A 27,631-nucleotide genomic window follows, 5' to 3' on the forward strand; every position below is an offset into this window, starting at 1 on the left:
TCCTACTGCGCACGCGTGAAAAAAGCCAGGTTGAGGGGAACGGGGGAGCTTCGGGCGTAGAGTGTGGGGAGTGGGGGATCTGGTGCAAATTAGGGTGCGTGAAAGAAGTCACAAAAAGCGCAGAGGCCAGGCTTCCCGCCCTAATCCGGCCTTTGTCTCCGCCCCTCTGCCTTTGTTTCGGCCCAAGCGTCTTATTGGTCAGACATCTTCAGCCCCATTGGTCCAAGAGCCAAAGGACGGGGTCTGCCCCAAGCTGTGCCTGCTTCCGGAGCCGCAATAAGAACGGTCAATTGAGATGCGGCTTTCAGGCATTTGTTTAGGACATGCCCATGGCGGGGCTTCTAAAGGGGCTTGTACGGCAACTGGAGCGGTTCAGCGTTCAACAACAAGCTTCCAAGATGCCGCCCAAAGGAAAAAGTGGTTCTGGAAAAGCGGGGAAAGGTAGAGCGGCCAGAGCGATCAAGGAGAATGGGGGCGGGTGAGGAGCGAAGGGAGGGAACAGACAGTCCATCTCCGGAGTCCGGGACGGACGCAGCAGGTAGCCAGTGGCCCCACAGTGCTGCCATCGATTACATCTGTAGGAATACATTGGGCTACGGTTCAGGGACCGTCCTAGTGGGTAATGGAATCTGATGGGGATAGTTCCTCGGAGGCGATGACTTAGGGCTGCTATTTCAAGGGGTTATTAGAGCTCTAAAATTGGGTCTTATCAAAAGCCAGCAATAGGAAGTACACATTGGTTATGGTCCTTAAAGTTCACTTTAATGCTTACAGAATGACATGCCCACCATCGGGGAAGGAATCATTCATCCATTGAACAGAAATGTGTCAGGCAGAGTGCTAAGCGCTGAGGATACACAAATAAGACAGAAGGCTGGGCGCGGTGGCTCACGCCTATAATCCCAGCACTTTGGGAGGCCGAGGGAGGATGGATCACGAGGTCAGGAGTTCGAGACCAGCTTGGCCAACATGGCGAAACCCCGTCTCTACTAAAAATACAAAAATTCGCCAGGCGTGGTGGTGGTGCGCGCCCGTAATCCCAGCTACTCGGGAGGCTGAGGCAGGAGAATCGCTTGAACTCGGGAGGCAGAGGTTGCAATGAACCGAGATCGCGCCACTGCACTCCAGCCTGGGCGACAGAGCGAGCCTCTGTCTCAAAAAAAAAAAAGAGATTTTGGCCTTAAGGAGCTCCCGAAGTAGTGAGGAAGATAAAGGCTTAGTGATCATAAAGCACTGTACTAAATGTAGTGTTGAGGGATGTGTATGGGATATAATAGAAATTGAGGGAAGTCCTTCATTTAGCTGGGGAACAGGGAACGGAAGACTTCCTGGAGATGAATTAGGCAGGTCAAGATGTGCATTGAGGGTAGGTTAAAGCATTCCTTACTTGGGGTCCAGCAGCAAAAGCACTGAGGTGAGAAACAGCATGATGTGTGCAGCGTAGTGTTGCTGGAGCAAAAACTCAAGGCAGAATGGCAAGTGGTGAGAATGAAAACAGAAACAAAGACGAGATCATGGAGAGTGCTATATATTCTGCTAAGAAGGACAGTTAAGGATCAGAAAGACCTGTAAGGAGATTGTTGTGGTAGTCTTGGTGAGAGATGATGGTGGACTGACCTAAGGGAGTGGCTGTGGGAACTGAGAAAAGAGAAAAGATTCTGTAAATATTAGGATGTGAAATAGTCAAGACTTGGTGATTTATTGGGTTGGGGAGGGGTGGTGAGGGAGGATCAACGATCATTCTGTTTTCTGGATTGGATTTCTAACCTGTTGCTGGTCCTGCAGGGTAACATCAAGGATACATGAGGAGCGGGGATGAGATTGATGAATTCACTTTCAGATAGATTGGCTTTGAGGTGTCTGTGGGACATCTCAGTGGAGATGTAGTCAGGAAGTGGTTGGATATTTGAGTCTAAAGTTTGAGGGAGAGGTCTAGACTGTACATGTAAGTTTTAGGAGTCGCTAACTTATAGATGGTAGTTGAGCCCATTAGAGTGTATGCAATTATCCATGGAGAGTTTATAGAATGAAAAGAGCAGAGAGCAGAGGATGTGATCCTAGGACAGGCAGAGAAAGAGGCAGACAGATAGAGGGAGTGCAGAATGGTGGCCAGAGGCTGGAGAGACCAGAATGTTTTAAAGAGAGAGGGTATAGTCTATCAAGAACAGCAGATTTGGAAATTAGAGGTGGCCTTGGGTAAAAGTGGTTTCAGTGAAACAGAAGCCAGATTACCGTGACTAGAGAACTGACTGGGAAGTGGTAATTTGGACTTCTTGGAAAGTTTTAATTGAAAAGCATGGAAATGGGATGGTAGATAGAGAAGGACAGAGGATTAAGAGAAAGTTTTATTTTCTTTGCTTCTTTGGAATGGGGAAAACTTGGGAGTGAAGCTGAAGGATCCAGTAAAGTAAAAGAGGTAAAGGTACAGAAGAGTGAGATTTAGGAGAAAATGGAATCCAGGACCTAGGGGGAGCAGGGACACCTTATGCTTGAGGTCATAGGAAAGGAGATGGAGGGGCAGGGACTCAGTAGGCATCTTGAGGAGAGTGGTAAAGGTCTGGAATATCGTAATGGAAGAGGGAATGAAACACAAAAGAAGTGCCTTCAGGGCTAGGAGCCTGACTAAGATCAAAGGCCATGAATTTGTAGACTACATAATCTTCACAGTCTGATTTACCTAGTACTATGCAATTGGCACAATATAGGATTGAAAAGAGCTAGGTGCAGCCTTAAGCCATGGTTGAGGTTTTGTTAGGCAGTTATGATAGGAGGATAGCAACACCAGGGAATTACAAGGGCCAGTGGGAATGCAGTTCAGATGAAGGAACATGGGGTCCAGAGTGGGAAGGGAAAAAGAAGTCTGGTGGCCTAGGTGAATGTAGCAGGACGAAGGGACTGGGGTCAAGGGAGAGGTTCTGTGAAGTTAAAGAGCAAGTATTGTGGGAATGAGACATGAGGAAGCTGGAAGAACAGGAGGTTATAGCCAGAGACTGAACTAGTTCTGAGTGGCACAGTTCCATCGTGTGCCCCCGGGGCAGGTAGCTTGGAGTAGAGAGCATGACATTCGGGAAAGAGACCTAGAACTGAGATTCCCCAAGATAGATGGTGAGGTCACTCAAGGTAATGGCAGGAGTGAGGGTGGAGAGGAAGCCCAAAGCTGATGCCAGAGTCGTCAGGAAATCAAAGGCAGTGAGGTGGCAGTCAGAAGATGACAGCATCCAGCAGGGAAGAGGATGGGATAACTGGAAGGCATCATCATTCAAGAATGGATCTATAGCAAACCCAGTTAGGAGTTTGATTTAATAACACTCCTTTGGCAGTAACATTTTTTTAGGGTTTTGGTAGTCAGTATTTGGGGTTTTCAGTTTAATCAAACATTTATTAAAACACCTTTTGTGTGCCAGGCATTGTGCTAGGCTTGGAGATACTAAGACAAGCAAGATGGAGACTCTTGCTTAAAACTTTTCAATGGCGGCCAGGCGCGGTGGCTCACGCCTGTAATCCCAGCACTTTGGGAGGCCGAGGCTCGCAGATCACGAGGTCAGGAGATCGAGACCATCCTGGCTAACAGGGTGAAACCCTGTCTCTACTAAAAATACAAAAAAAATTAGCGGGGCGTGGTGGCAGGCGCCTGTAGTCCCAGCTACTCGGGAGGCTGAGGCAGGAGAATGGCATGAACCCGGGAGGCGGAGCTTGCAGTGAGCCGAAATCGCGCCACTGCACTCCAGCCTGGGCGACAGACAGAGCGAGACTCCGTCTCAAAAAAAAAAAAAAAAAAACAACTTTTCAATGGCTCCCTATTACGTCTAGGATAAGTCCCAAGCTCCTTAATGGGGCCAAAAGGCCTCAATGCCCTGACCCTCAGCTACCTCCCTCAGGCAGGCTCATCTGAGTGCACTCCCACCTCAGATTTGGCTTCATCCATACAATTTCTTACACATACCATGTCGTTTCCCCCATTCTGGAGTGTCTCCTCATCCTTTCTTTGGCTAACCAGCTCCTACTCATCCAGGAAACCTTCCCTGGCTGGCTCCAGTGTCCCTCTGTGCTTCCACAGCCCCCTGTCCATAACCATCTCTGCATCTCCTGCATTCTCCTGAAATGATCCGTCTTCCTCACTAGAATATGAGTTTTCTGAAGGAAGGTACATGGCTTGTTCATCTTTGTACTCCCAGTGCCTGGAACTCAGTAGTTGTATAGGAAATGTTTATTGAACTGAGCCCTTAATTCAACTGTAATTCTTAGGAACATCAGCCTCTAGCAGTATGTAGGCTGCCATTGACACAGAAGTTACCATAGTAGTAAAATGACATACTAGTAAAATGTAAGATGCTGCTAATGGTTCTAGGAAGACATCAATAGGCAATGTAGTAGACTCTAGAAATTTGGACATGAATGTATTCTTTAGCCAAAAATGGGTAGTGGGAAATTTGATCTTTTTAAAAAATGTATTCTTAGAGATTTTACTTACTGGAATTGTGATGCTTGAACACATAGTTGTGGTACATGATAGAACTCTTACAAGAACTTAGGAGTCTGCCCTCAGAAGGCAGGGTGTTAAATTGGATGCAAAGAATCTGGGCCAGGCTTCCGGAGCTTTCATTCACCTATTAGCACACTCATTTGTGTATCCATTTTCTGTGAAGGGTTTATATAGGGCACAGATTTCCTGTTTGAAGAAAGATGGGTCAGATTAATTTAGCTTGATGTTGTAAAGCAAGCTTGTCCAACCCACGGCCCACGGGCTGCATACGGCCCAGGATGGCTTTGAATGCAGCCCAACACAAATTTGCAAACTTTCTTAAAACATTATGAGATTTTTATTTGTGATTTTTTTTTTTTTTAGCTTGTCAACTATCATTAGTGTTAGCGTATTTTGTGTGGCCCAAGATAATTCTTCCATTGTGGCCCAGGGAAGCTGAAAGGTTGGATACCCTTGTTGTAAAGTGTCTGGCCGAGTTCCCTTTTGAAGTGTGGCGTTATGATGGAAATATCCACTCCGGTTGTGTGTTGGACCTTTCTGTAAACATGGAGGTGCAGTTTAAATGAGTACCTGTCATCTCTTCTCTAAAGGGGGAGCAGCCTCTGGGAGTGACAGTGCTGACAAGAAGGCTCAAGGTCCCAAAGGTGGTGGCAATGCAGTAAAGGTGAGTTACTGGTTCCTTTTTTTCCATGTTAAATATAAATTCTGTTTATGTGTTAGTACACATAAAAGACAGAATGCTTAACTCATTCTAACAGGCTAGCCTAACACTGGTATAAAATCAAAATAACACAAAATTGTAGCTGGGCGCACCTGTAATCCCAGCACTTTGGGAGGCCAAGGCAGGCAGATCAGCCTGGCCAAAATGGTGAAACCCTGTCTCTACTAAAAATACAAAAATTTGCCTGGTGTGGTGGTGTACACTTGTAATCCTAGCTACTTGGGAGGCTGAGGCACGAGAATCAAGAATCGCTTGAACCAGGAGGCTGAGGTTGCAATGAGCTGAGATTGCACCACTGCACTCCAGCCTGGGCAACAGAGTAAGATTCCATCTCAAAAAAATAAATAAATAAAAATAAATTTTAAAAAAATGGAAAATATAGACCAGTCTTGCTTATGAAAAGTAATTCCCTTTAAATATTTTGTCATGTACTTTCTCAGATACCCAGAATTTCTTTATAGTTTTTTAGTATTGTTCCTTAAAATGCATTAAGTTAGATCTTCCCAGTAATTGAGTTATTTCTTAGGACAAAATAATATTTTATAAAACCAAGAGATTAGATAAGTGTTAAAAGTCCTCTGCTGAATAAACAGGCAAGGGTGCAGGTCTCTTTAGAAAGCTTCCCCACTGGTGAGCCACAAACCAGGGTCTTGACCATGAAAATGGGGGCAGGAGAAAATCAGCAAATAATTACTTGAAATACTTAACCTAGCCCCAGAGGAGTATCTGCTGGGAGAAAATTTAATCTGCAAACTAGTAAGTGCTATGTAACAAGGCAATTTCCATGTTTTAGTCAGGATATGGGAGGCTGTACTTTGATTCATTCATTCAGTAAGGACTTAGTGACATCTGCCCTGTGCCAAGCAATGTATTAGGCTCTGGGGATTTTTTATCATGTATTTATTTAATAAAAAAGTAAGAGATGGGCCAGGCACAATGGTTCATTCCTGTAATCCCAGCACTTTGGGAGGCCAAGGCACGAGGATCACTTGAGCCCAGGAGTTTGAGACCAGCCTGGGCAATATAGCAAGACCCTGTCACTAAAAAAGTAAAAATAAAAAATCAGCCAGACGTGGTGGTGCACAACTGTGGCCCTAGCTACTCAGGAGGCTGAGGTGGGAGGATCGCTTGAGCCCGAGAATTTGAGGCTACAGTGAGCCATGATTGTGCCACTACACTCATCCTATGCAACAGAGCGAGACCCTGTCTCAAAAAAATAAATAAAAAGTAAGAGATGGTCCTTGTTATCACAGGCTACTTGGGAGCAGTTAGGTAAAGATATGTATTTCATTGCTGTATGATAAGCATAGCAGTGGAACTGCATCATATAAATTCAGCCATACATGTGTAGCCTAAAAAAGAGAGATCATGTAAATGGTGTGGACTGTTCTGCCCACTCTTCTATTCAATGAACCTATGCCCCACAGAGAGAGAGAGAGATGAGAGACATGCACCTGCTTTTCTATAGTTGCCCTGAATTCTTGTGTGAGCATCCAATCATGTGAAGTGGGGTTCTGGTATCCAAAGATAAGTTTTCATAAAACATAGCCCCTAAATACAACCCAGTTACTTCATGTTACAAACGGAGTACAGCGTTCCTGGCTATGTCTGGGCTTAAATGAGAGCTGACATGCTGGTCTCCCATATGACATCTTCATAAAGGGATATTCTAGGGTAATTTTGGCTATATGCAGTTTTCACCTAATATGTTTTCACAAGCATCTAACCTAAGAGACTGTTGCACTGCATATGGCTTTAGCTACTTTTTTTTATTTTTTTTTTTGAGACGGAGTTTCACTCTTGTTGTCCAGGCTGGAGTGCAATGGCACGATCTCGGCTCACTGCGACCTCCGCCTCCCAGGTTCAAGCGATTGTCCTGCCTCAGCCTCCCAAGTATCTGGGATCACAGGTGCCCGCCACCGCGCCCAGCTAGTTTTTTGTATTTTTAGTAGAGATGAGGTTTCACCATGTTGGCCAGGCTGGTCTTGAACTCCTGACCTCAGGTGATCCATCTGCCTCGGCCTCCCAAAGTGCTGGGATTACAGGCATGAGCCACCGTGCCTGGCGGCTTTAGCTAATTTTTTAAAAACTTTGTTTTGTTGTTTTTATCTTTGTAGAGATGGAGTCTCGCTATGTTGCCCAGGCTGGTCTTGAACTCCTGGCCTCAAGCGATCCTCCCGCCTCAGCCTCCAACAGTGTTAAGATTATAGGGGCATGAGCCACCACACCTGGTGCATGTGGCTTTAAAGAGGCACCTTACCCTCTCTGGAAAAAAAATAAGTTCAATGTGGCCACTCATGAGATATATGGAAAGGAGTGGCACGTTATTCACTAGGAAAGTAGATTAGGGTTAAATTTGTTTTTATAAAGCCTTTTATTTTGAGATAATTATAGATTCACATGCAGTTTTAAGAAATAATACATCTAGCTGGGCATGGTCGTGTGTGCCTGTAGTCCCAGCTACTTGGGAGGCTGAGGTAGGAGGATTGTTTGAGCCCAGGAGTTTGAGGCGGCAGTGAGTCAGGATCACGCCACTGCACTCCAACCTGGGCAACAGAATGAGACCTTGTCTCTAAAAAAGAAAAAAAGAAAAAGGAAAAGAAATAATACGTATTCCTTTGTTTCTCCCAATGGTAACACCTAACAAAACTATAGTACAATAGCACAAACAGGATATTGACATTGATGTAGTCAAGATACAGACAATCCTACCACTACAAGGATCCCTCCTCTTGGCCTTTTATAACTATACCCGCTTCCCTCCTGCCCCACCTCTGCCCTCTTAACCCATGGCAGCAACTTATCTGTTCTCCATTTGTGTAACTTTATAATGTCAAGAATGTTATATGAATGGAATAATACAGTATGTAACCTTTTGGGATTGGTTTTATTCACCCAGTATAATTCGCTGGAGATTTCATTCAGGTGGTTTTGTTTATCAATAGTTTATTCCTCTGTATTGCTAAATAGTACCAGTTGAGTATCCCTAATCCAAAAATACAAAATACAAAATGCTGTAAGATCTGAAACTTTTTGAGCGCTGACATGACACTCAAAGTAAATGCTCATTATAGCATTTCAGATTTTGAATTTTCAGATTAGGGATGCTCAACTGGTAAGTTTAATGCAAATATTCCCAAATCCGAAACACTCTGGTCCCAAGCATTTTGGATAAATGATATTCAACCTGTATCCCATGATGTGGAAGTGCTGTAGTATGTCGAACCATTCACCTGTTGAAGGACAGCTGGGTTGTTTCAAGTGTTTTTTGAAGGCACCAGTCGGTGAGGGACCCTGGGACCCTCTGGCCTTTTAGGGTTCAGCTCCTTTCACATTCTGTCATTCTGCTTCAGACCCCACCCCTGTGCCCACACCCTGCCCTTTTGTCGCTATAAGCTCTGCAGATTCTGAGACCCATCCACTGACCACAGCTTCCCTCCTTCCCCTTCCCTTCCTGCCTCCGCCAATCCTGTTCCTCTGTTCTTCTCCTCACAGACCCCCAAGCCCTCAAGCCCACCCTAATCTCCCCACTTTCTCCTAGGCTTCATGTTTGTTTTCCTATCCCCTGCACACTCAAAATTAGGCCTAAGGGCTTGATCATTGGATTGAGGAGGTCCAGTTTTTCTTTTGGCCACCTCCCTGCATCCACCTCCCTGCTACTCAGGATCAATCCAATGGTCTACTTTCTATGCACTTAAAATTAGATCTATAGTTAGAAGAGAAGAATTCGAGTGGTTCTAGTATAAAGAAAAGACAAATATTTAAGGTGATGGATATTCCAAGTATACTGATTTGATCTTTACCAATTATATGAATGTATTAGATTATTGCATTACCTTGAAACTGTACATCTACTATGCATCAATAAAAAAGAAAGGAAGGAAAAGAAAAGAAAAGAAAAGATTTCCTTGAAAACGTCTAGCTGGGGGCAACTTAAATATTAATACTTGATTTTTAATAAGTATGTAAATAAAGTATTTACTAATAATTCCAATATGAGTATTATATTTGCTTATAGATGAACTTATTTCAGTAGCTTGGCTCAAATTTGAAACAGTTACTTAAGAAAGAAAAATTCAGCCGGGCGCCGGTGGCTCATGCCTGTACTCCTGGCACTTTGGGAGGCCAAGGCTTGCGGATCACCTGAGGTCAAGAGTCCAAGATCAGCCTGGCCAACATGGTAAAACCCCGTCTCTGCTAAAAATACAAAAATTAGTCGGGTGTGGTGGCGGGTGCCTATAATCCCAGCTACTCGGGAGGCTGAGGCAGGAGAATCACTTGAACCTGGGAGACAGAGGTAGCAGTGAGCCGTGATCACACCACTGCACTCCAGCCTGGGCAACAGAGCGAGACTCCATCTCAAAAAAAAAAAAAAAAGCTCCCCAGAACTGCTGGGCCCTACTGGAAAGTCACACAGCCTTGGGGATTGGGACTACTAATACTTGGTCTCTGACTTTACCTAGGCCCTCAGTGCTGCTCAGCAATCCTTTACCGCCCACCTGTAGCCATCCACCACCCCACTCCCATCAGTCAACAGAGAACTTCATTCCATGGTTCTCAACCCTAGACGTACATCAGATTCGCCTAAAAAAATACGAGTGCCTAGGGTCTCATCCCAGACCAACTGCATCAGAATCTCTTGGAGGGGGGCCTGGACTTTGATAACTTTTTTAGAAGGGCTGGGCTCTGTGGCTCATGCTTGTAATCCTAGCACTTTGGGAGCCCGAGGTGGGTGTATCACTTGAGGTCAGGAATTCGAGACCAGCCTGGCCAACATGGTGACACCTTGTCTCTACTGAAAATACAAAAATTAGTTGGGCATGGTGGCATGCGCCTGGAATCTCAGCTACTCGGGAGGCTGAGGCAGGAGAATCACTTGGACCCGAGAGGCGGAGGTTGCAGTGAGCTGAGATTGCGCCACTGCACTCCAGCCTGGGCGACAGAGTGAGACTCCATCTCAAAAAACAAAAACGAAAAACTTTTCTAGAATTTCTGGAGGTGATTCTAATATGCTGCCAGGGTTAAGAAACACTCATCTAGTCTCACAGCGTTAGTGTGAGGATTTAATGAGATAAGTACTCATCAACTTTTAAATGTTTTTATTATTTTAACAAGAAAGTGGAAACCAGACCCATTGTCAGGAACTCATTGGCTTTCAGCCCCCTAGCAACAAAGTTACCTCCTCACCTTTTTTCCTTTAAGGCTAATTTTTCAAACCGTGTTCTGAATACCAAACCTTGCTCCTTCATTTATCTCTACCCTCTTTTTTGTTCTGTCTTCAACCGGTTTTTTTTTTCCTAGGTCTTTCCCTTCATTCCGAAAATATGCCCAGGGACCTTTAAAATTCGTGGGTTTTTTTGTTTTTGTTTTTGTTTTTGAGATGGAGTCTCACTCTTGTTGCCCAGGCTGGAGTGCAGTGGCGCGATCTTGGCTCACTGCAACCTCCATCTCCCAGTTTCAAGCGATTCTCCTGCTTCAGCCTCCCGAGTAGCTGGGATTACAGGCATCCACCACCACTCCCGGCTAATTGTTTGTAGTTTTAGTAGAGATGGGATTTCTCCATGTTGGCCAGGCTGGTCTCCAATTCCTCACCTCAGGTGATCCGCCCACCTCTGCCTCCCAAAGTGCTGGGATTACAGGCCTGAGCCACCTCGCCCAGTGTAAATTTCGTATTTACATGTCTTCCACTTTTTGCCTCTAGCCAGAGCCCTTTCTCCTTTTCAAACAAAGTTAGTTTGTTTGAATTACCCTCCCACTTGACATTGTTTCCTCAGTCAGCCTGCTGTATTCTGGCTTCTGCACTTAAACTCTTCTGAAACTCCTTTTTCTGAGATCATTGTTCCATCATTGCACAATGTATTATACTTCTTACCTGATGTCTCTGCAACCCTTAACCCTTGTTGACCATTTCCTCCTTGAAACTCTCTCCTGCCTTGGTTTGTTAGCACACGCTTCTCTCCTACCTATATGGCCTTTCCTTTTTATTATGCTTTTTTCTTTTTTCTTTTTAAGAGACAGGTTCTTGCTCTGTCACACAGGCCGGGGTGCATGACATGCAGTGGCATGATCATAGCTCACTGCAGCCTTCAATTCCTGGGCTCAAGTGATCCTCCTGCCTCAGCCTCCTGAGTAGCTAAGACTACAGATGTGCACCACCATGCCCGGCTAATTTTTTTTAAAGTTTTTGTAGAGATGGGGGTCTTACTATGTTGCCCAGACTGGTCTCAAACTCCCATCCTCAAGGGATCCTCCCACCTTGGCCTCCCAAAGTGCTGGGGTTATAGGTGTGAGCCACTGCGCCTCGCCCCTTTTTATTACACTTTTTGAGTTCTTTACTTGTTGCTTGAACATTGATAGTCTCCAAGGTTACTTTAGCTTTCTTTCCTCCTCTTCTCATTTTCATCTCCTTCCTGGTAACCTCATGAATTCCACACTTCAGCTGCCACCTCCATAGTCATCACTCCCAAACTCTTTCTGTAGCTTGGCTCTCCAAGACACAGCTGCACTGTTGCCAGTTCGTTGGTCACACTTGCAGACCCCACAGGAATGAAAAACTCTTTGTCGCACTGTCTAAACTAGAATACTCGTTTATTCATTTATAAAATGGTGGACGGTATCCCCTATCTGTGACCACGAATGCAGTGTACATTTTCCCAGGAATTGTATCAGACAATCACTTTGTGAGTATGGAAGCAGAAACAAGGAGGCAATCTAGAAGCTGTCTCTTAAAAAAAAAAAATTAACTGTAAAACAGCCTCAGGCAGGTCCTTCAGGAGGTATTCCAGAAGAAGGCATTATCATAGGAGATGACAGTCCCATGCATGTTATTGTCCCTGAAGACCTTTCCATGGGACAGGACATGGAGGTAGAAAACAGTGATATTGATGATCCTGACCCTGTGTGGGCCTAAGCTAGTGTGTGTATTTGTGTCTTAGTCTTTAATAAAAAAGTTTAAAAATTAAAAAAAAAAATTTTAAATAGAAAAAAGCTTATAGTGGCTGGGCGTGGTGGCTCACACCTATAATCCCAACATTTTTGGGAGGTTGAGGTAGGCAGATCACTTGAGGTCAGGAGTTCAAGACCAGCCTGGCTAACACTGTGAAACCCTGTCTCTACAAAAAATACAAAAATTAGCTTGGCGTGGTGACACGCGCCTGTAATCCCAGCTACTCAGGAGGCTGAGAGACACAAGAATCGCTTGAACCTGGGAGGCGGAGGTTGCAGTGAGCTGAGATTGTGCTACTGCACTCCGACTTGGATGACAGAATGAGACTTCATCTCAAAAAAAAAAAAAAGAAAAAAGCTTATAGAATAAGGATATGAAGAAAGAAAATAGTTTTGTACAGTTGCACAATGTGTTTGTTTTTTAAGCCAAGTGTTATTAAATAGAGTCCAAAAGTTTAAAATTTTTTAAATGTATAAAGTTAAAAAGATATAATAACCTAAGGCTAATTTAATATTGAATAAAGAAAAGTGTTTTATAAATTGTAGCTTACATGTATAGTGTGTATAAAGTCTACAGTAGGGGACGGGTGCGGTGGCTCATGCCTGTAATGCCAGCACTTTGGGAGGTCAAGGCGGGTGGATCACTTGAGGTCAGGAGTTCGAGACCAGCCTGATCAACATGGTGAAACCCCGTCTCTACAAAAAATACAAAATTAGGCCGGGTATGGTGGCTCATGTCTGTAATCCCAGCACTTTGGGAGGCCAAGACAAGCGGATCACCTGAGGTCAGGAGTTCGAGACCAGCCTGACCAACATGGCGAAACCATCTCTACTAAAAATACAAAACTTATCCAGGTGTGGTGGCGCGTGCCTGTAATCCCAGCTATTAGGGAGGCTGAGGCAGGAGAATCACTTGAACCCGGGAGAGGGAGGTTGCAGTGAGCTGAGATCGCACTGCTGCACTCCAGCCTGGGCGACAGAGCAAGACTCCGTCTCAGAAAAAAAAAAATTAGCCGCTAGCCAGGCGTGGTGGTGCATGCCTGTAATCCCAGCTACTCAGGAGGCTGAGGCAGGAGACTCACTTGAACTAAGGAGGGGGAGGTTTCGGTGAGCCAAGATCGCATCATTGCACTCCAGCCTGGGCAAAAGAGCGAAACTCCATCTCAAAAAAAAAAAAAAAAAAAAAAAAAGTCTACAGTAGTGTACAGTAATGTCCTAGGCCTTCATATTCACTCACCACTCACTGACTCACCCAGAGCAACTTCCAGTCCTGCAAGCTCCATTCATGTAAAGTGTCCTATATAAGTGTACCATTTTTTATCTTTTATACTATATTTTTACTGTACCTTTTCTATGTTTAGATACCCAAATACTTAAACCATTGTGTTACAGTTGCTTATGGTATTCAGTACAGTCACATACTGTACAGGTTTGTAGCCTAGGAGCAATAGGCTATGCCATATAGCCTAGATATGTAGCTGGCCATACCATCTAGGTTTGTGTAAGTACAGTGTTATGTTTGCACAAAAACAAAATTGCCTAATAACTCATTTCTCATGTTTCCCTGTAGTTAAGTGACGCGTGACTATAAGTGATTCTATTTGAATGTGAAATGAGAAATCCTGCGAAACAGCTATCTTGACAAAATCATTTTCAAGGATAATAGTGTTTTTTTAAATCCATGGCTTTATGTAAACATAGGTCAAATTTGAATACTTCAGTAGGGTTGGGCGTTCTTAATATTCAACCTATGATACCTTTTCAAAGTGTGGAATTGTGGGGAGGCTTATACATTGGGTCTCTTTTAGTAAGAAATACTTCCTGGCCAGGCACGGTGTGCTGACACCTGTAATCCCAGCACTTTGGGAGCTGAGGTGGGCAGATCACTTTAGGCCAGGAATTTGAGACCAGCCTGGCCAACACAGTGAAACCCATCTCTACTAAAAATACAAAAAGTTAGCTGGGCGTGGTGGTGCGCACCTATAGTCCCAGCTACTTGGGAGGCTGAGGCAGGAGAATTGCTTGAACCCGTGGGTGGAGGTTGCAGTGAGCCAAGATCGGGCCACTGCACTCCAGCCTGGGCAACAGACGGAGACTCTGTCTCAAAAAAAAAGATAGAAATACTTTCTAGCAGGTTTTTTCTTATCCTCACTCTGATGAAATAATAGCTAGCCGTTGGTCAATGGTAGCTGCATTATCTCAATCTTCACAATCCTATGAGAACACATAGGTCCCGTTATCATTGCATCTTGATGTACAAATGGAGAAACACTTGGAGGTTTAAAAACATGCGTAAGTTCAGCCAGGCATGGTGGCTGACGCCTGTAATCCTAGCACTTTGGGAGGCCGAGGCGGGCAGATCACTTGAGGTCAGGGGTTCAAGACCGGCCTGGCCAACGTGGTGAAACACCATCTCTACTAAAAATACAAAAATTAGCTGGGCGTGGTAATGGGTGCCTGTAATCCCAGCTACTCGGGAGGCTAAGGCAAGAGAATTGCTTGAACCCGGGAGGCAGAGGTTGCAGTGAGCTGAGAGCACACCACTGCACTCCAGCCTGGGAGACAGAGTGAGACTCCGTCTCTAAATAAATAAATAAATAAAGCCTAAGTTCATACAGCAGAGTTGGGATTTGATTCTAGGACCACAGCTCTCAACCCGTATCGTGTTTCCTCCTCCTGTTAGCATGAAGGTATATGGTAAAAGATGGGAGCTTCCCGGCCGTGAGCGGCGGCTCACGCCTGTAATCCCAGCACTTTGGGAGGCCAAGGCGGGTGGATCACGAGGTCAGGAGTTCAAGACCAGCCTGGCCAACATGGAGAAACCCCATCTCTACTAAAAATACAAAAATTAGCCAGGTGTGATGGCACATAGCTGTAAACCCAGCTATTCAGGAGGCTGAGACAGGAGAATTGCTTGAACCCGGGAGGCAGAGGTTGCAGTGAGCCGAGATCACACCACTGCACTTCAGCCTAGGTGACAGAGCAAGACTCCTTCTCAAAAAAAAAAAAAAGGCGGAGCTTCCCACAGCCAGGTGCCTATTTTCCATCTAAATCAGGACTCTGAGACATTGTCTTAATATGGGGAATGGGATTGTGGTTGTTGTCCTGGGCAAACTTCCAGGATTTTTACTTGCTATGAACTAATGTGTTTTTTTTTTAACTGGTGGGGGTAATCCAAATGTAACCACTGTACTTTAAGGAGTCATTTGGGTCTCCAAGTATTACATGAATGTACTTTTTCCTTGCAGGTCAGACACATTCTATGTGAAAAACATGGCAAAATCATGGAAGCCATGGAAAAGTTAAAGTCTGGGATGAGATTCAATGAAGTGGCCGCACAGTATAGTGAAGATAAAGCCAGGCAAGGGGTATGTTGCTCTTATTATTTATAATTTTCTCTCAAGGTAAGAAAGCAAAGTAAAAATGACAAATAATAAAATAAGATAAAAATTCTCCATCCTCCACAGAAGAAACACAGAAGTAGGGATCATTCCTTTGTTCAACCATTGGTTGTAGCGATATTTTGGTTTAAAGATCTCAAAAGCAGAAATGTCCAACTTGTAAATAGTAGAATAAGGGTCATCTATGTCAAAACCTATGCATGACCAAACTTGCACGGCTAACTTCAAAGTCCAGCAGTGTTGAGAGTACTTATGTGTTCAGTCTAGTTAGACTTCTTCTACCTATTTGTCCTTATTGAGCCTATTCCTGTATTGCTCTTAGGAATATACCTCGTAACCTTAGCAAAATGTTGGGAAATTCTCTCAAGCTACAGTAGAACTGTTCCCTCTTCTGGGCCACTTGATATCACTTATCTTTTGGGTTTTTCAGGGTGACTTGGGTTGGATGACCAGAGGGTCCATGGTGGGACCATTTCAAGAAGCAGCATTTGCCTTGCCTGTAAGTGGGATGGATAAGCCTGTGTTTACAGACCCACCGGTTAAGACAAAATTTGGATATCATATTATTATGGTCGAAGGAAGAAAATAAAATCATATGAAAGACTGAATAAGTTTTATACATTTTGTTTCTTTAAAAGGTATTACATATTCTTTTGAGCTGGAGCTGCAAGGAAATACAAAAATTTTTAAAAAGAAAAGATATTGGATGCTCCTTGTATTCTGTGAAAGCTCTAAGTATGGGTTTGTAGGTGTAAGAGAGGGTGGGGCTAAGTGAATGTCAACTGTAGTAGGTATTCAGTCAGTCTTTCTCAAAGAGAAGTCAAGCAGACTCCCTTTAACCTGTATTCTCTTTCCTCCCAGAACTATATCTGACTCTCAGTCTGTCCCATAAATTAATTCAGAAACCATCTTCAGGGGAAGCAGATATCAACTCACACTATTCACACAACTGAAAATATTGGGCATCAAATAGATTAGTGTGTGAGAATCATAAAATAAGTTCCTAGACAACATTTGTTTTACATGTTAGTCAACTCTGATCTTCCAGGACAGGTGGTATTAGCTCCACTGTCTTAACATAGTACGTGGCACGTTATGCCTTTCAGTGTTAACTCCTTTCTTTTTAAATAAATGTTTATTGGAGGAAAAAAGCACTCAGTTGTTCCATGAGTTGTTTTGTACTAGACTAACCGAGTGCTGGTTAAAGGGAGGGATGTCAGCATAAAAATGTCATTCCCTCATCTTCAGTGTATGGGTTACATTAAGACTGTCCTTTCCAGGGCCAATGTTCTGTGCATCTAAATTTTTAAAATTTAAAATGCCATATTTATGACATATAAAAAAGTATAAAGATTACTAATATAAATACTATACTGCTTCAAAAATAAAACTTTGCCAACACAGCTATGTGATTCTTAACAGATTATTTTAACACACTGCCTTCTCTCCCTCAGCTGCATTTGATATTATACCCACTTATATAATGGGAACTTTACCTAGATACCTGACTTTCCCACTTGAGAAGAGTTTCTGAGCACCTCAGTAGGTTATGCCTCCATGAGATTTTCCCCACGGAGCAGATATGCCAGTGTATACAGAGAAGTTCAAATAGATATAAGATGAAACTATGGCTGGGCCCAGTGGTGTGCGCCTGTAGTCTTAGCTACTTGGGAGGCTGAGGCAGGAGGATCACTTGAGCCCAGGAGTTCTGGGCTGTAGTGTCCTATGCCAATCGGGTGTCAGCACTAAGTTCAGCATCAATACAGTGACCTCATCTGGGCACAGTGGCTCAGGCCTATCATCCCAGCATTTTAGGAGGCCAAGGTGGGAGGATCACTTGAGCCTTGGAGTTCGAGGCTGCAGTAAGCTATGACCATGCCCCCTGCACTCCAGACTTCAGCCTGGGCAACAGAGGCCCTGCCTCTTAAAAAAAAAGAAAGAAAAACATGGTGACCTCCTGGGAGTGAAAGACCAGCAGGTTGCCTAAAAAGGGGTGAACTGGCCCAGGTTGGAAACTCAGCAGGTCAAAACTCCGGTGCTGATTAGTAATGGGATTGCACCTTTGAATATCCACTGCACTGCAGCCTGGCCAACACAGTGAGACCCCGTGTCTAAAAAAAAATTTAAAGCTGAAACTACATGTTATTGATTGATTTTTTTTTAATGATTTATTGACATGGGGTCTTGTTACGTTGCTGAGGCTGGGCTCAAATGACCCTTCTGCCTCAGCCTCCCTAGTAGCTGGGACTACAGGCAAGTGCCACTGCACCCTGCCTACGTGTACTTTGAAAACTACATTAAAAACAATGTCTCTAGGCTGGGCACGGTGGCTCATGCCTGTAATCCCAGCACTTTGGGAGGCTGATGCAGGTGGATCACTTGAGGTCAGGAATTTAAGAAGACCAGCCTGGCCAACATGGTAAAACCCCGTTTCTACTAAAAATACAAAAATTAGCTGGGTGTGGTGGTGCACACCTGTAGTCTCAGCTACTTGGGAGGCTGAGCCACAAGAAATGCTTGAACCCAGGAGGTGGCTGCTGCAATGAGCTGAGATTATGCTACTACACTCCAGCCTGGGCGACAGAGCGAGACTCCATCTCAATAAAATAAAATAAATAAAATAAAACAATGTGTCTAAATAAGGGCAGTAAATTCTGAAGAGCTGTATAGGCATGAGACACTACCAAGCTAGAGTCCTTTGCTTGGGACATTGACTTGCCCAGGATACTAAGTGAATACCTATTGCACAGATGTCACCACAAAGGAAAGAAGCGAGAGTGCTGAAAGGTGGACTAGAAAAAGCAAACTAAATTCTGTGGTATGGAGAGAGAGCAGTTATAGCTAGCCTGTGAGAAAGTAAGGCAGGAATGGACCTCTGACACCAAGCGAACCTTTGGGAAGTTAGCTTTTGATTGACAACTAAGATTCTGAAAGAGTTGGTAAACGGGCCAGGCAGCGCGGCTGACGCCTGTAATCCCAACACTTTGGGAGGCCGAGGTGGGTGGATCACTTGAAGCCAGGAGTTCAAGACCAGCCTGGCCATCGTGGTAGAATCCTGTCTCTACTAAAAATACAAAAATTAGCTGAGTGTGGTGGTGTGTGCTTGTAGTCCCAACTACTCGGGAGGCTGAGGCAGGAGAATTGCTTCAACCTGGGAGGTGGAGGTTGCAGTGAGCCGAGATTGCGCCACTGCACTCCAGTCTGGGCAACAGCAAAACTGTCTCAAAAAAAAAAAAAAAGAGTTGACAAATGAAAAAAATTAAGGATTTATACAGATTTATATACATTATAGCATATGCATTTAATTCTGCTTTAAGACATCTCTGATTAAGTTCAGTGTTTACAGAACAAACCTTATTCATTGTAAAATAATTGCAAATTAAAATCAAAATAAGATACAAGTTCCCTCTTTTTATGTGTCAGATTGGTAAAGTTCAGAAAGTTTAACATTGTTTGGTAAGGGTGTGGGGAAACAGACATTCATCCATTCATTAATGGTGGAAATGCAATTATATCCTCTGGAAAATAGTTTGGCAATACCTGTCAAATTTATAAATATACCCTTTGACCCAGCAACTCCATTTCTAGGAAGGTATACTATAATCATATGTATAAAAGATACAAGGATATTCATTACAGCATTATTTGGAAACAAACTGAACACTAACAATAGATTATGATAAATTATGGTATATCCCTCAATAGAATATCATGCAGTTATTTTAAAATTTAAAATGAGGTACAGAATAGTGTACACAATACACTATCACTTGGGTAGCAACATAAATATATACACATATGTACTTGTGCTTGTACATCATAGACTGTCTCTGGGAATGGGAATCCAGAACTCCAGGACAGGAGGGCAAGAGATTTTTCACCTCACACCCTTAGATCAGGGGTCTTAACCTTTCATTTGTGCCTTGCAGCCTTTGGCAGTTTGCCCAGCCTATGGATCCCTTTTCAAAATGTTTATTTTAGGCTGGATGCGGTGGCTCACACCTGTAATCCCAGCACTTTGGGAGGCTGAGTAGGGCAAATCAGTTGAGGCCAGGAATTCAAGACCAGCCTGGGCAACATAGTGAGACCCTGTCTACAAAAAATTTTAAAAATTAGCTGGGCATTGTGGTGTGTGCCTGTAGTGTCTGCTCTTCAGGAGGGAGGCTGAGGCAGGAGGGTTGCTTGAGCCCTAGAGTTAAGGCTGCAGTGAGCCGTGATCTCACCACTGCACTCCAGCCTGGGTGACAAGAGCGAGACCCTGTCTCAAAAAAGAAAAAATGTTGACTTTAAGTGCTTAAAGTAAAATACATAGGATTACAAAAGACAGCAACTATGTTGAAATACAGTAGTCCAAAGTTTTTAAATTGTGGCTGGGCACAGTGGCTCACGCCTGTAATCCATCCCAGTTCTTTGGGGGGCCGAGACAGGTGGATTGCCTGAGCTCAGGAGTTCGAGACCAGCCTGAGGAACATGGTGAAACCCTGTCTCTACCAAAAATACAAAAAATTAGCCAGGCGTGATGGTGGCGCACACCTGTAGTCCCAGCTACTCCTGGCAGGGGCAGGTAGGGCTGAGGTGGGAGGATTGCTTGAGCCCAGGAGGCGGAGGTTGCAGTGAATCAAGATTGTGCCACTGCACTCCCACCTGGGTGACAGAGTAAGACCTCGTCTCAGAAAAAAAAGTTTGTAATATGTGTGTGTGCCTCTTTATTAAATACCTGGTAGTAGGTCTAAAAAGCACTGTGACTTTGCAGTAATGAATATCAATGGCATTTTGAGATATCTGCAATAACCCCAAAGTCTATGTGATTTCTACTGGTGACATAACATGTACTGCTAATATTTCTGCAGTTTATGCGTACATTTGTTAACAGTGGAGGATGTCCAGGTTCTTGGCATCTTGAACAAAGAACGAAACGCACAAACAAAGCAAGGAAGGGACAAAGGGATTTATTGAAAACGAAACTACACTCCACAGCATAGGAGCTCAAAACACCCTGTTAGAGAATTTTTGGGAGTTTAAATATCCCCTAGAGGATTCCATTGGTTACTTGGGGTATACCCTGTGTAAATGGAAAGGATGACGTGAAGTTACAAGTCATTTACTTGGCCTACGCCCTGTGGAGAGGATATTTCCTGTCATAGCTTTAGTGTGAATCAGCCTTATGTTCCCTGCCTCCAGACCCTATTTTCCTGCTTCACATTCATGATGAAAGGAAATGCTATATTTCAGCTACCAGACAGAGAAAAGATAAAACTTTTTTTCCTATCCAAATTCAGACACCTGACTTCTTCTACCCATGAACCCCAGGTTAAAAATCCCTGCCATGGATACTGTTTGAATATGAGCATGTATTTTTTTCCCCAAACAACAGAATTTGTCATAGTACACACACACTTGAACAGAAAGAGCATTGCTATTTTCAGTGAGAAATATTCCTAGGACTTAGACGCTTCACTGTTCAGATCAAATGGATATAGGCCGCTAAAGCTTCCTTGAAGGCAAATACATTGTGTGGATTTTTTGTTTTCTACATCAGGGAAGAAAGAAGTTTATTAGCTGAATTTTCACAAACATTTTTGTGTGTGGTAGAAGGGACAGAAAAACAAAGATGTGTAGGGCGCAGCTACTCCCTTCACATCATGGTGGGAAGCACAGGGAAATGGTAAGCTGAACTCAGATGCAGACTGTGAATTGCTTCACAGTTAGTTACACCAGTATTTCAAAAATAATGATATATATTCAATCGTATTACCCTAAAATAGTAATAATTGCTTTTAGTAAGAGCAAAATTTTGTTCCATCAATAACCTGAAATTCAGCTTCTTTTGAACTTCTGTAATCTCTTGTAATATACATGAGATTATTAATGTGTATATACATATAATTTACAAGTAACTTTTATATGTATGGGATATAATAAAAATAAATATTTGGTCTTTGTCCCTGGTTCCTGGCATATAGTTCCTGAAAGCCTTGAAATCTCAACTGGTGTCTTTTGTATGCTAATGACATAGCTTGTGGCTGGAGGCCCCTAGTAGCTTCAGGATGGGGGCTGGTCACCAGAAACAGCAAGGCATGATTAGAGGGAACGTTCAGCCCTAACTGCAACCTCTGCAGAGGGGAGAGGGGCTGAAGATGAGTTAATCACCCATGGCCAATTATTTTATCAATCATGCCTCCCTAAGGAAACCTCAAAAACCTTAACAATGGAGTTTGGAGAGCCCTGGATTAACATCAAAATGTTGGGAGGGTGGTGTGCCTGGAGGGCATGGACGCTTAATGCACCACCCCCATACCTTGCCCTACACATCTCTTCCATTTGGGTGTTCCTGAGTTGTAGTCTTTATAATAAGCTGGTAATAGTAAGTAAACGTTTCCTGAGTTTTATAAGCTATTCTAGCAAACTATTAAACCAGGGGGTGGGATGGGACGGTCATGGGAACCCCTAATTTGTAGCCAAGTCAGACAGAAGTGTGGTTAACATGGGGACCGAACACTTGCCACTGACGTCTGAAGTGAGGGCAGTCTGGTGGGACTGAGCCCTTAAACTTGTGGAGTCTGATGCTAACCCTGGGTAGTGTCGAAACAGAATCGTAGGACACCAGTTCAATTTTGAATTGGAGAACTGGAGAACTGCTTGATGTGGAAAACCCCCACATTTGGTGTCAGAAGTGTTTTGAGTAAAAACAGCTCAGTGTATTATAGTGTATTCATTTACACAAGGTTAAAAATCGGTTTCACCCCAACCATGTCACCACAGGGAAGTCACGGCCTCACTGATCACTGAGCCTGTTTCCTCACATGAAAAATGGAAATGCTATTCTCCCTTCACCTCAAAAGATTATGGTAAGGCTGAAATGAGAAACCTGTGTGGAGTGCCCAACACATAGTACGTCATCAAGGATAGTCCACTTCTCTGGTGACAGAGTGCAGCGTGCTATACTGCAGTTTATCTTTCTGCAAGGGAACCAAACTCCTTTTCAGTCTACAATCCAAAGATAGACTGTGATAATATGTGTCAGAATAGACGAGATACCTGGTTTGGTGAAAGGGAGAACACAGTTAATGGTGCATTAAGAATGGCTAAATGGTCAGCAGTGACTCCAGGGCAAGCTACCAGTGATAAAGAATCCTAGCACCAGGTACCTAGCTCAGCTTTCTGCTGTTCCAGTTTAGTACTCTATCCAAAATGCTGGGGACCAGAAGTGTTCTTGATTGTGGAGAATTTCCATACACATAATGAGATATTTTGGAGATGGGATCCAAGTCTAAACATGAAATCCATTTATGTTTCATACACACATTATATACATAGTCTGAAGGTAATTTTATAATTACTTTTAACGATTTTGTGCATGAAACAAAGTTTGTGTATGTTGAACCATTTTATTACCCTTTGTAGGCAGGCTTGCATGGGAGAATCTGGGCCTGTGTGGAAAGGATATATAGTAGCTGAAGGGGTCTAACAGAATCTCTTTTCTCTTGGGGATGCTGAGTAAACAGTGTGTTATACACCTTCATTTTGACTGTGACATGTCACATGACATCAGGTATGGAACTTTCCTCACTTGTGGCATCATGTCAGCACTCAGAAATTTTCCCCATTTTGGATTGGATTAGGGATGCTCAACCTGTATTAAGCTGAAAGCATGAAACAGCATGTTCACAAGCATATCTTAAGATCTGCCAGTATCATCTCAGTGAAACAAAGTGGATGGAAAACACTTGAGAAAAGTAACTTTAATTTTCTTATCTGAACTGTTATATACAAAGATGATCACTTTCAGAGTAAAATTAAGAATGACCAGAATAATTTTACAAAACTTTCCAAGAAACAACACAGTTAAATTTATAGAATATGCCTAAAATATAAGAATATTCAAGTGAAGAAATATTAAGCTAGTGCTCAGAATACCAGACTATGGAGTGGGGGGCGTTGCAGGGCAGAAGTTGCTTTTTGAGATCTTTCTTGCCTTAAGCCTGAATGCTTCATGTTCCCAAAGAATCCAATTATGGGAACAAAAATTCCCTCATATTCAGTTTCACTTTAAAATACAATAAACAGGTTACATTCTCAATTGTTATTAAGTTGCTTATACAAACTTAAAGTCAAGAGCATAACTTCAGGATCTGCACTTTTTATGTCAAGCGCTTTAACTAAGCAGTTTAGGGCCTCCTGGATTTTTCCACACTCTTTTAGTTCTTTTCCACGCTTTACAAGAGTCTCATAGTCATTTGTAGCCTCTGCCGCCTTATCCTGGGGAGAACCAACCAACTGTTCACCAGACAAAGGCTCAGGGGCACCAAGAGAGGTCTCTTGAGCTAGAGCACTAGGCTTAGACGTCATTAACCAGCTGGACTTGTTTTCTGAAGACAGTGTTTCTCCGGAAGGATCCTCTTCTGTATACTTGGAGGCTTCGCCACTGCTTTCCTCCACCCCTTCTTCTGGATAATCTTCAGGACCCTTTGCTTCACTGCTGTCGTCAAGTCTTTCCTCCATGTCCTCCACGTGGTCTAAAACCATATTAATAAGAGACCTCCTAGAAGCCAGAGATCTTCTAGAGTTCATAGACTTATTTACACTACTGGGTATTTGAGATGAAAAGAACCTTCCTGGTGGACTGATGTCATTTTTGGGAGTTGAAGCATCAAATTGTTTCACAGATGAGAATTGAAAGAGAGATGTGTTGAATGGATTTATGCTTGAGGTATCTTTAAAAGAATCATCTTCATCTTCGCCATCTGAAACAATCCTTCTAGCTTTACTTCTGATTTTTGCTTTAACTACTACTTCTTCTGGTTCATCGTCTTTCTCAGAAAACTCCCAACTGAGACATGTTTTGCTATGCACAAACCCTGCTCTGGAATTAGGTGCAGAGCCACACAAGCTATTTTCTTTCTCAACATGCTCTAAAGACTGACTGGAAAAATTTTGTCTGTTGTCTGCTGAGTCTTCCAAGAAAAGATTGAAATCACATGCATACTGTGGTGAAGATGCTGAAGGTTCCTCTTCCAACTTGGCCTCACTTGCTTGAGCATCCTGCAGTGCACTATGGGATGCTGAAAGGTCATCAGCTATTTCAATAATGGATACATTTGATTCTGCATTTTGACTTTCATTTGTTATGGAAATAATGGGCCAAGGATTGCAATGACGTAAAATCTCATCATCCTTTAGTTGATCTAAATTTGGCCCAATATCAGCTTTGGTTGATTTGCTAAGTACATAATTAAAACTTTCCAGAGGATCCTCTTGCAGTGCCTCTTGCTTAGGCCCCTCTTGTAATGTCTCTTTTTGTACAGCTTCATTTTTAGTTGCAAAGCTTTTTTCCATTCCCAATGAAGAGTTAGTACAAAGTTCTTCTACACTTCCAAACCCCTTTGGTAAAGTAGCTATAGAGTCAGCACTACCTGTACCTTTACCATCTTGCAAGGTGGTAACATTCACCTTTATACTGGAGAGATCTTGTTTCTCACCCTCTTTGGGCAGATCATCAATGACTACACTTGCCATTTTGGAACTGATATCTTCTTCCTGAGTATGATGAGTACTTAGAAGAGGTGAAGGCTGAGGCTGTGGTTTATTCAATTTAGGGCATTTCTTCTTTGTTGAAGAAGGAAATACAGGTTCTCTTAGCCAGGCCCCCTCATTTCTAGTTCTTTGTTGTTCCATCAGGAACTCTTTATTTTGAGACTCGAATTCAACGAGGAATTGAGCTTTCTGAACCCTTTGTTGAATATAGTGAGATTCTTCTACCACATCAAGCTCTTCTTTAACAGACAGATCACATGTGTACATCAAATCATGGTCTGAGATTCCAGCTATCCCCAAAGACTGCAGGTAGGCAATATGTTCATCTAGTTTTATATCAGATTTCCTCTGAGCAGCATGCAAAGACTGAAGCTGCAGCTGGGTTACAGAGTTCTGAAGATCCTCGATTGTAAAGAGCTCTCTTAATTCTTGTTTACTAAAATATCGGAAAGGGTTCTTTTTTTCACCAGTAGTTTGTCTTATTAATGAGTCCTTGAAAACCTGTCTTCTGTATATTTTTTCCTCTACAGTCCCACAAGTGATTAGCCTATAAACCACAACATTCTCTTTTTGTCCAATTCGGTAAACTCTATCCACAGCTTGAGCATCAGTTGCAGGATTCCAGCTAGGGTCAAAAATGACCACTCTAGTTGCTGCAGTTAATGTTAAACCGACACCACCTACTTGAGTGGTAAGCAGAAAAACAGAGTAATCTTTATTTTGCTGGAATAAGTTAATTCTTTTTTCTCGTTCCAAAAGATGAGTAACTGTCCCATCGATTCGCAATGTCTTAAAGTGCCTATTCTTTAAGAGGCGTTCAATGATGTTTAGAATTTGCCTCGATTGAGAAAACACCAGAGTTTGATGTCCCTCATCTCGCAGCCTCTTAAGTAGGTCCATTAGGAATATCATTTTTCCAGATTCTTCCATCAATGTGTCATCAGTTACTTGATCAATATGGTCCACATCTGGGGAATCTTCCCCCTCATTTCCATCTTGAGCAGAGAATGTCCCAAGATTTAGCAAACAACAAGCCCGTGCAGACAGCAGCCTAGGATGATCACACAGCTTCTTTAAGACACCTAGCTCAGCCAAAGGTGAGCGCGTCTCCATTAGCAACTCCTTGATATGATCTAAAGACACAAATTTCCTGTATATTTCTTCTTGTAAAGGCACAAGTCGTATCCAAATAATTAAATCATTTTTCCTGGAAAGGGAAGGCATTTCACAAATGGCATCAACATCTGGATTCTTTTCATTAAGTCTGGCCTCTGGGTTGCTTGACTTTTTCTTCTGTACGTCTTCTTTAGTCCTCCTGAGAAAATAGGGTTTTATGATTGCCATTAAGTTTTCAGATATTTTAAATCCCAAGGCTTTTTCTCCTGGGGTAGCATCCTTCTCTCTTGCTCTAGTAATAGGATTTTCATACTCCATCTTAAAAGTTTTTAATGTTCCCAGCAGGGACCCTTGACAAGCAAAATCAAATAGGGACCATAGTTCTTGTAAATTATTCTGGATTGGGGTTCCTGTGAGGAGGAGGCGATTACTTGCAGGAATAGCACGAGCACATATTGCTGACTTAGTAGATGAGGTTTTTATTTTATGTGCTTCATCGAGGATGACATAGTCCCACACAAACTCTTGGCCCCTAAAGCTTGAAAGTTGCTGCCAGTTATTGATTAACATTTGGTATGTAGTGATAATAACACCATTCCTTTGCTGAATCCGATTGAGGTTTCTGGTCCGTTCATCCTTGCTAGGACCATGAAAGGTTTTGACTCTCATTCCTGGAGTCCACTTGATGAATTCTTTTACCCATGTGTTAATAAGATTGGTTGGCATGATCAGCAGCACATGATTCACAAGTGATGCATCAAACATACCGGAAAGGAAAGCAATGATTTGAACAGTCTTCCCTAATCCCATATCATCAGCCAATATACCACCTTTTCTTCCATCCCTATACAGGCTATAGAGGAAAGCTATGCCTTCCTTCTGGTGCTCAAAGAGTTGGTTGTGCAGTTCTCGATAAAGTAGCAAGCCAGAGTTGCACACATCTGTAAATTCATCATCTCCCTGTTCTGCCAACTCCTCCAAGGCTTCCTGTATTTTTTGGATTCTGCTCAGCACTTTTTCATTGGGAAAAATGTCCTTTGCCAAATTGAAAAGTTTAAATGCTTCTTCCAGGTCTCCATTCTTAGTTGCTTCTTTGGCCTCTTTCACATATCTATAGAAAAAAAAAGAAGAAGAGGAGAAAGGAAACATTGAACATTCAGTCTAAGAATGCTTTAGAGTTCATTTTAGAATCCAAACTGCAGCTGGACTTTTAATATCCTCAATTCAGGATGGGAAAGATTAGCACACAAGATGCCAATGAAAGCTGGCGTCACTTGAGACACAAACAAATATCCACCAGATGCTGCCAGCAACACCTTCAGGCACTAGTTGTGGAAAATGAATGTGCAAAGGTTATTGGTTCCACAGTATTTTTTTTTTAATTGGCACCCATAAGAAGTATGAAGTGATATTTTTTGTAAAACAAACCTC

General features: G+C 43.0%; 2 protein-coding genes and 1 pseudogene across 5 annotated transcripts in view, besides 1 other annotated feature; 2 read left to right on the forward strand and 1 right to left on the reverse strand.

Annotated features, from left to right (window-relative positions):
* PIN4 (peptidylprolyl cis/trans isomerase, NIMA-interacting 4) overlaps positions 289-27,631 on the forward strand; it is an 82,289-nt gene continuing 54,946 nt past the window's right edge. Inside the window, exons 1-4 of one of the 3 annotated variants that reach the window (NM_006223.4) lie at positions 370-441; positions 5,074-5,147; positions 15,398-15,517; positions 15,981-16,953. In NM_006223.4, coding sequence (NP_006214.3) covers positions 399-441; positions 5,074-5,147; positions 15,398-15,517; positions 15,981-16,139 — 396 coding nt within the window. In that variant the 5' untranslated portion in view covers positions 370-398 and the 3' untranslated portion in view covers positions 16,140-16,953. Of the gene's footprint in view, positions 442-5,073; positions 5,148-15,397; positions 15,518-15,980; positions 16,954-27,631 lie in introns of those variants that run through there. The other 2 variants (NM_001170747.1, NR_033187.2) reach the window with 2 other exon arrangements.
* Positions 410-629: an enhancer, noted in NCBI's record as "active region_29755". NCBI's record gives its function as "activates an Ori minimal core promoter by ATAC-STARR-seq in GM12878 lymphoblastoid cells {active_cell/tissue: GM12878}" and the evidence as "EXISTENCE:reporter gene assay evidence [ECO:0000049][PMID:35858748]".
* RN7SL388P (RNA, 7SL, cytoplasmic 388, pseudogene) lies at positions 17,325-17,663 on the forward strand (annotated as a pseudogene).
* The window catches only part of ERCC6L (ERCC excision repair 6 like, spindle assembly checkpoint helicase), a 34,363-nt gene continuing 30,009 nt past the window's right edge, over positions 23,278-27,631 (reverse strand). For both annotated transcript variants that reach the window (NM_017669.4, NM_001009954.3), the window contains one exon: positions 23,278-27,311. In NM_017669.4, the coding sequence (NP_060139.2) occupies positions 23,627-27,311 (3,685 nt within the window). In that variant the 3' untranslated portion in view covers positions 23,278-23,626. The remainder of the gene's footprint in view (positions 27,312-27,631) is intronic.

The sequence above is a fragment of the Homo sapiens genome, chromosome X (genome assembly GCF_000001405.40).
Source record: "Homo sapiens chromosome X, GRCh38.p14 Primary Assembly".
NCBI lineage: Eukaryota > Metazoa > Chordata > Mammalia > Primates > Hominidae > Homo > Homo sapiens.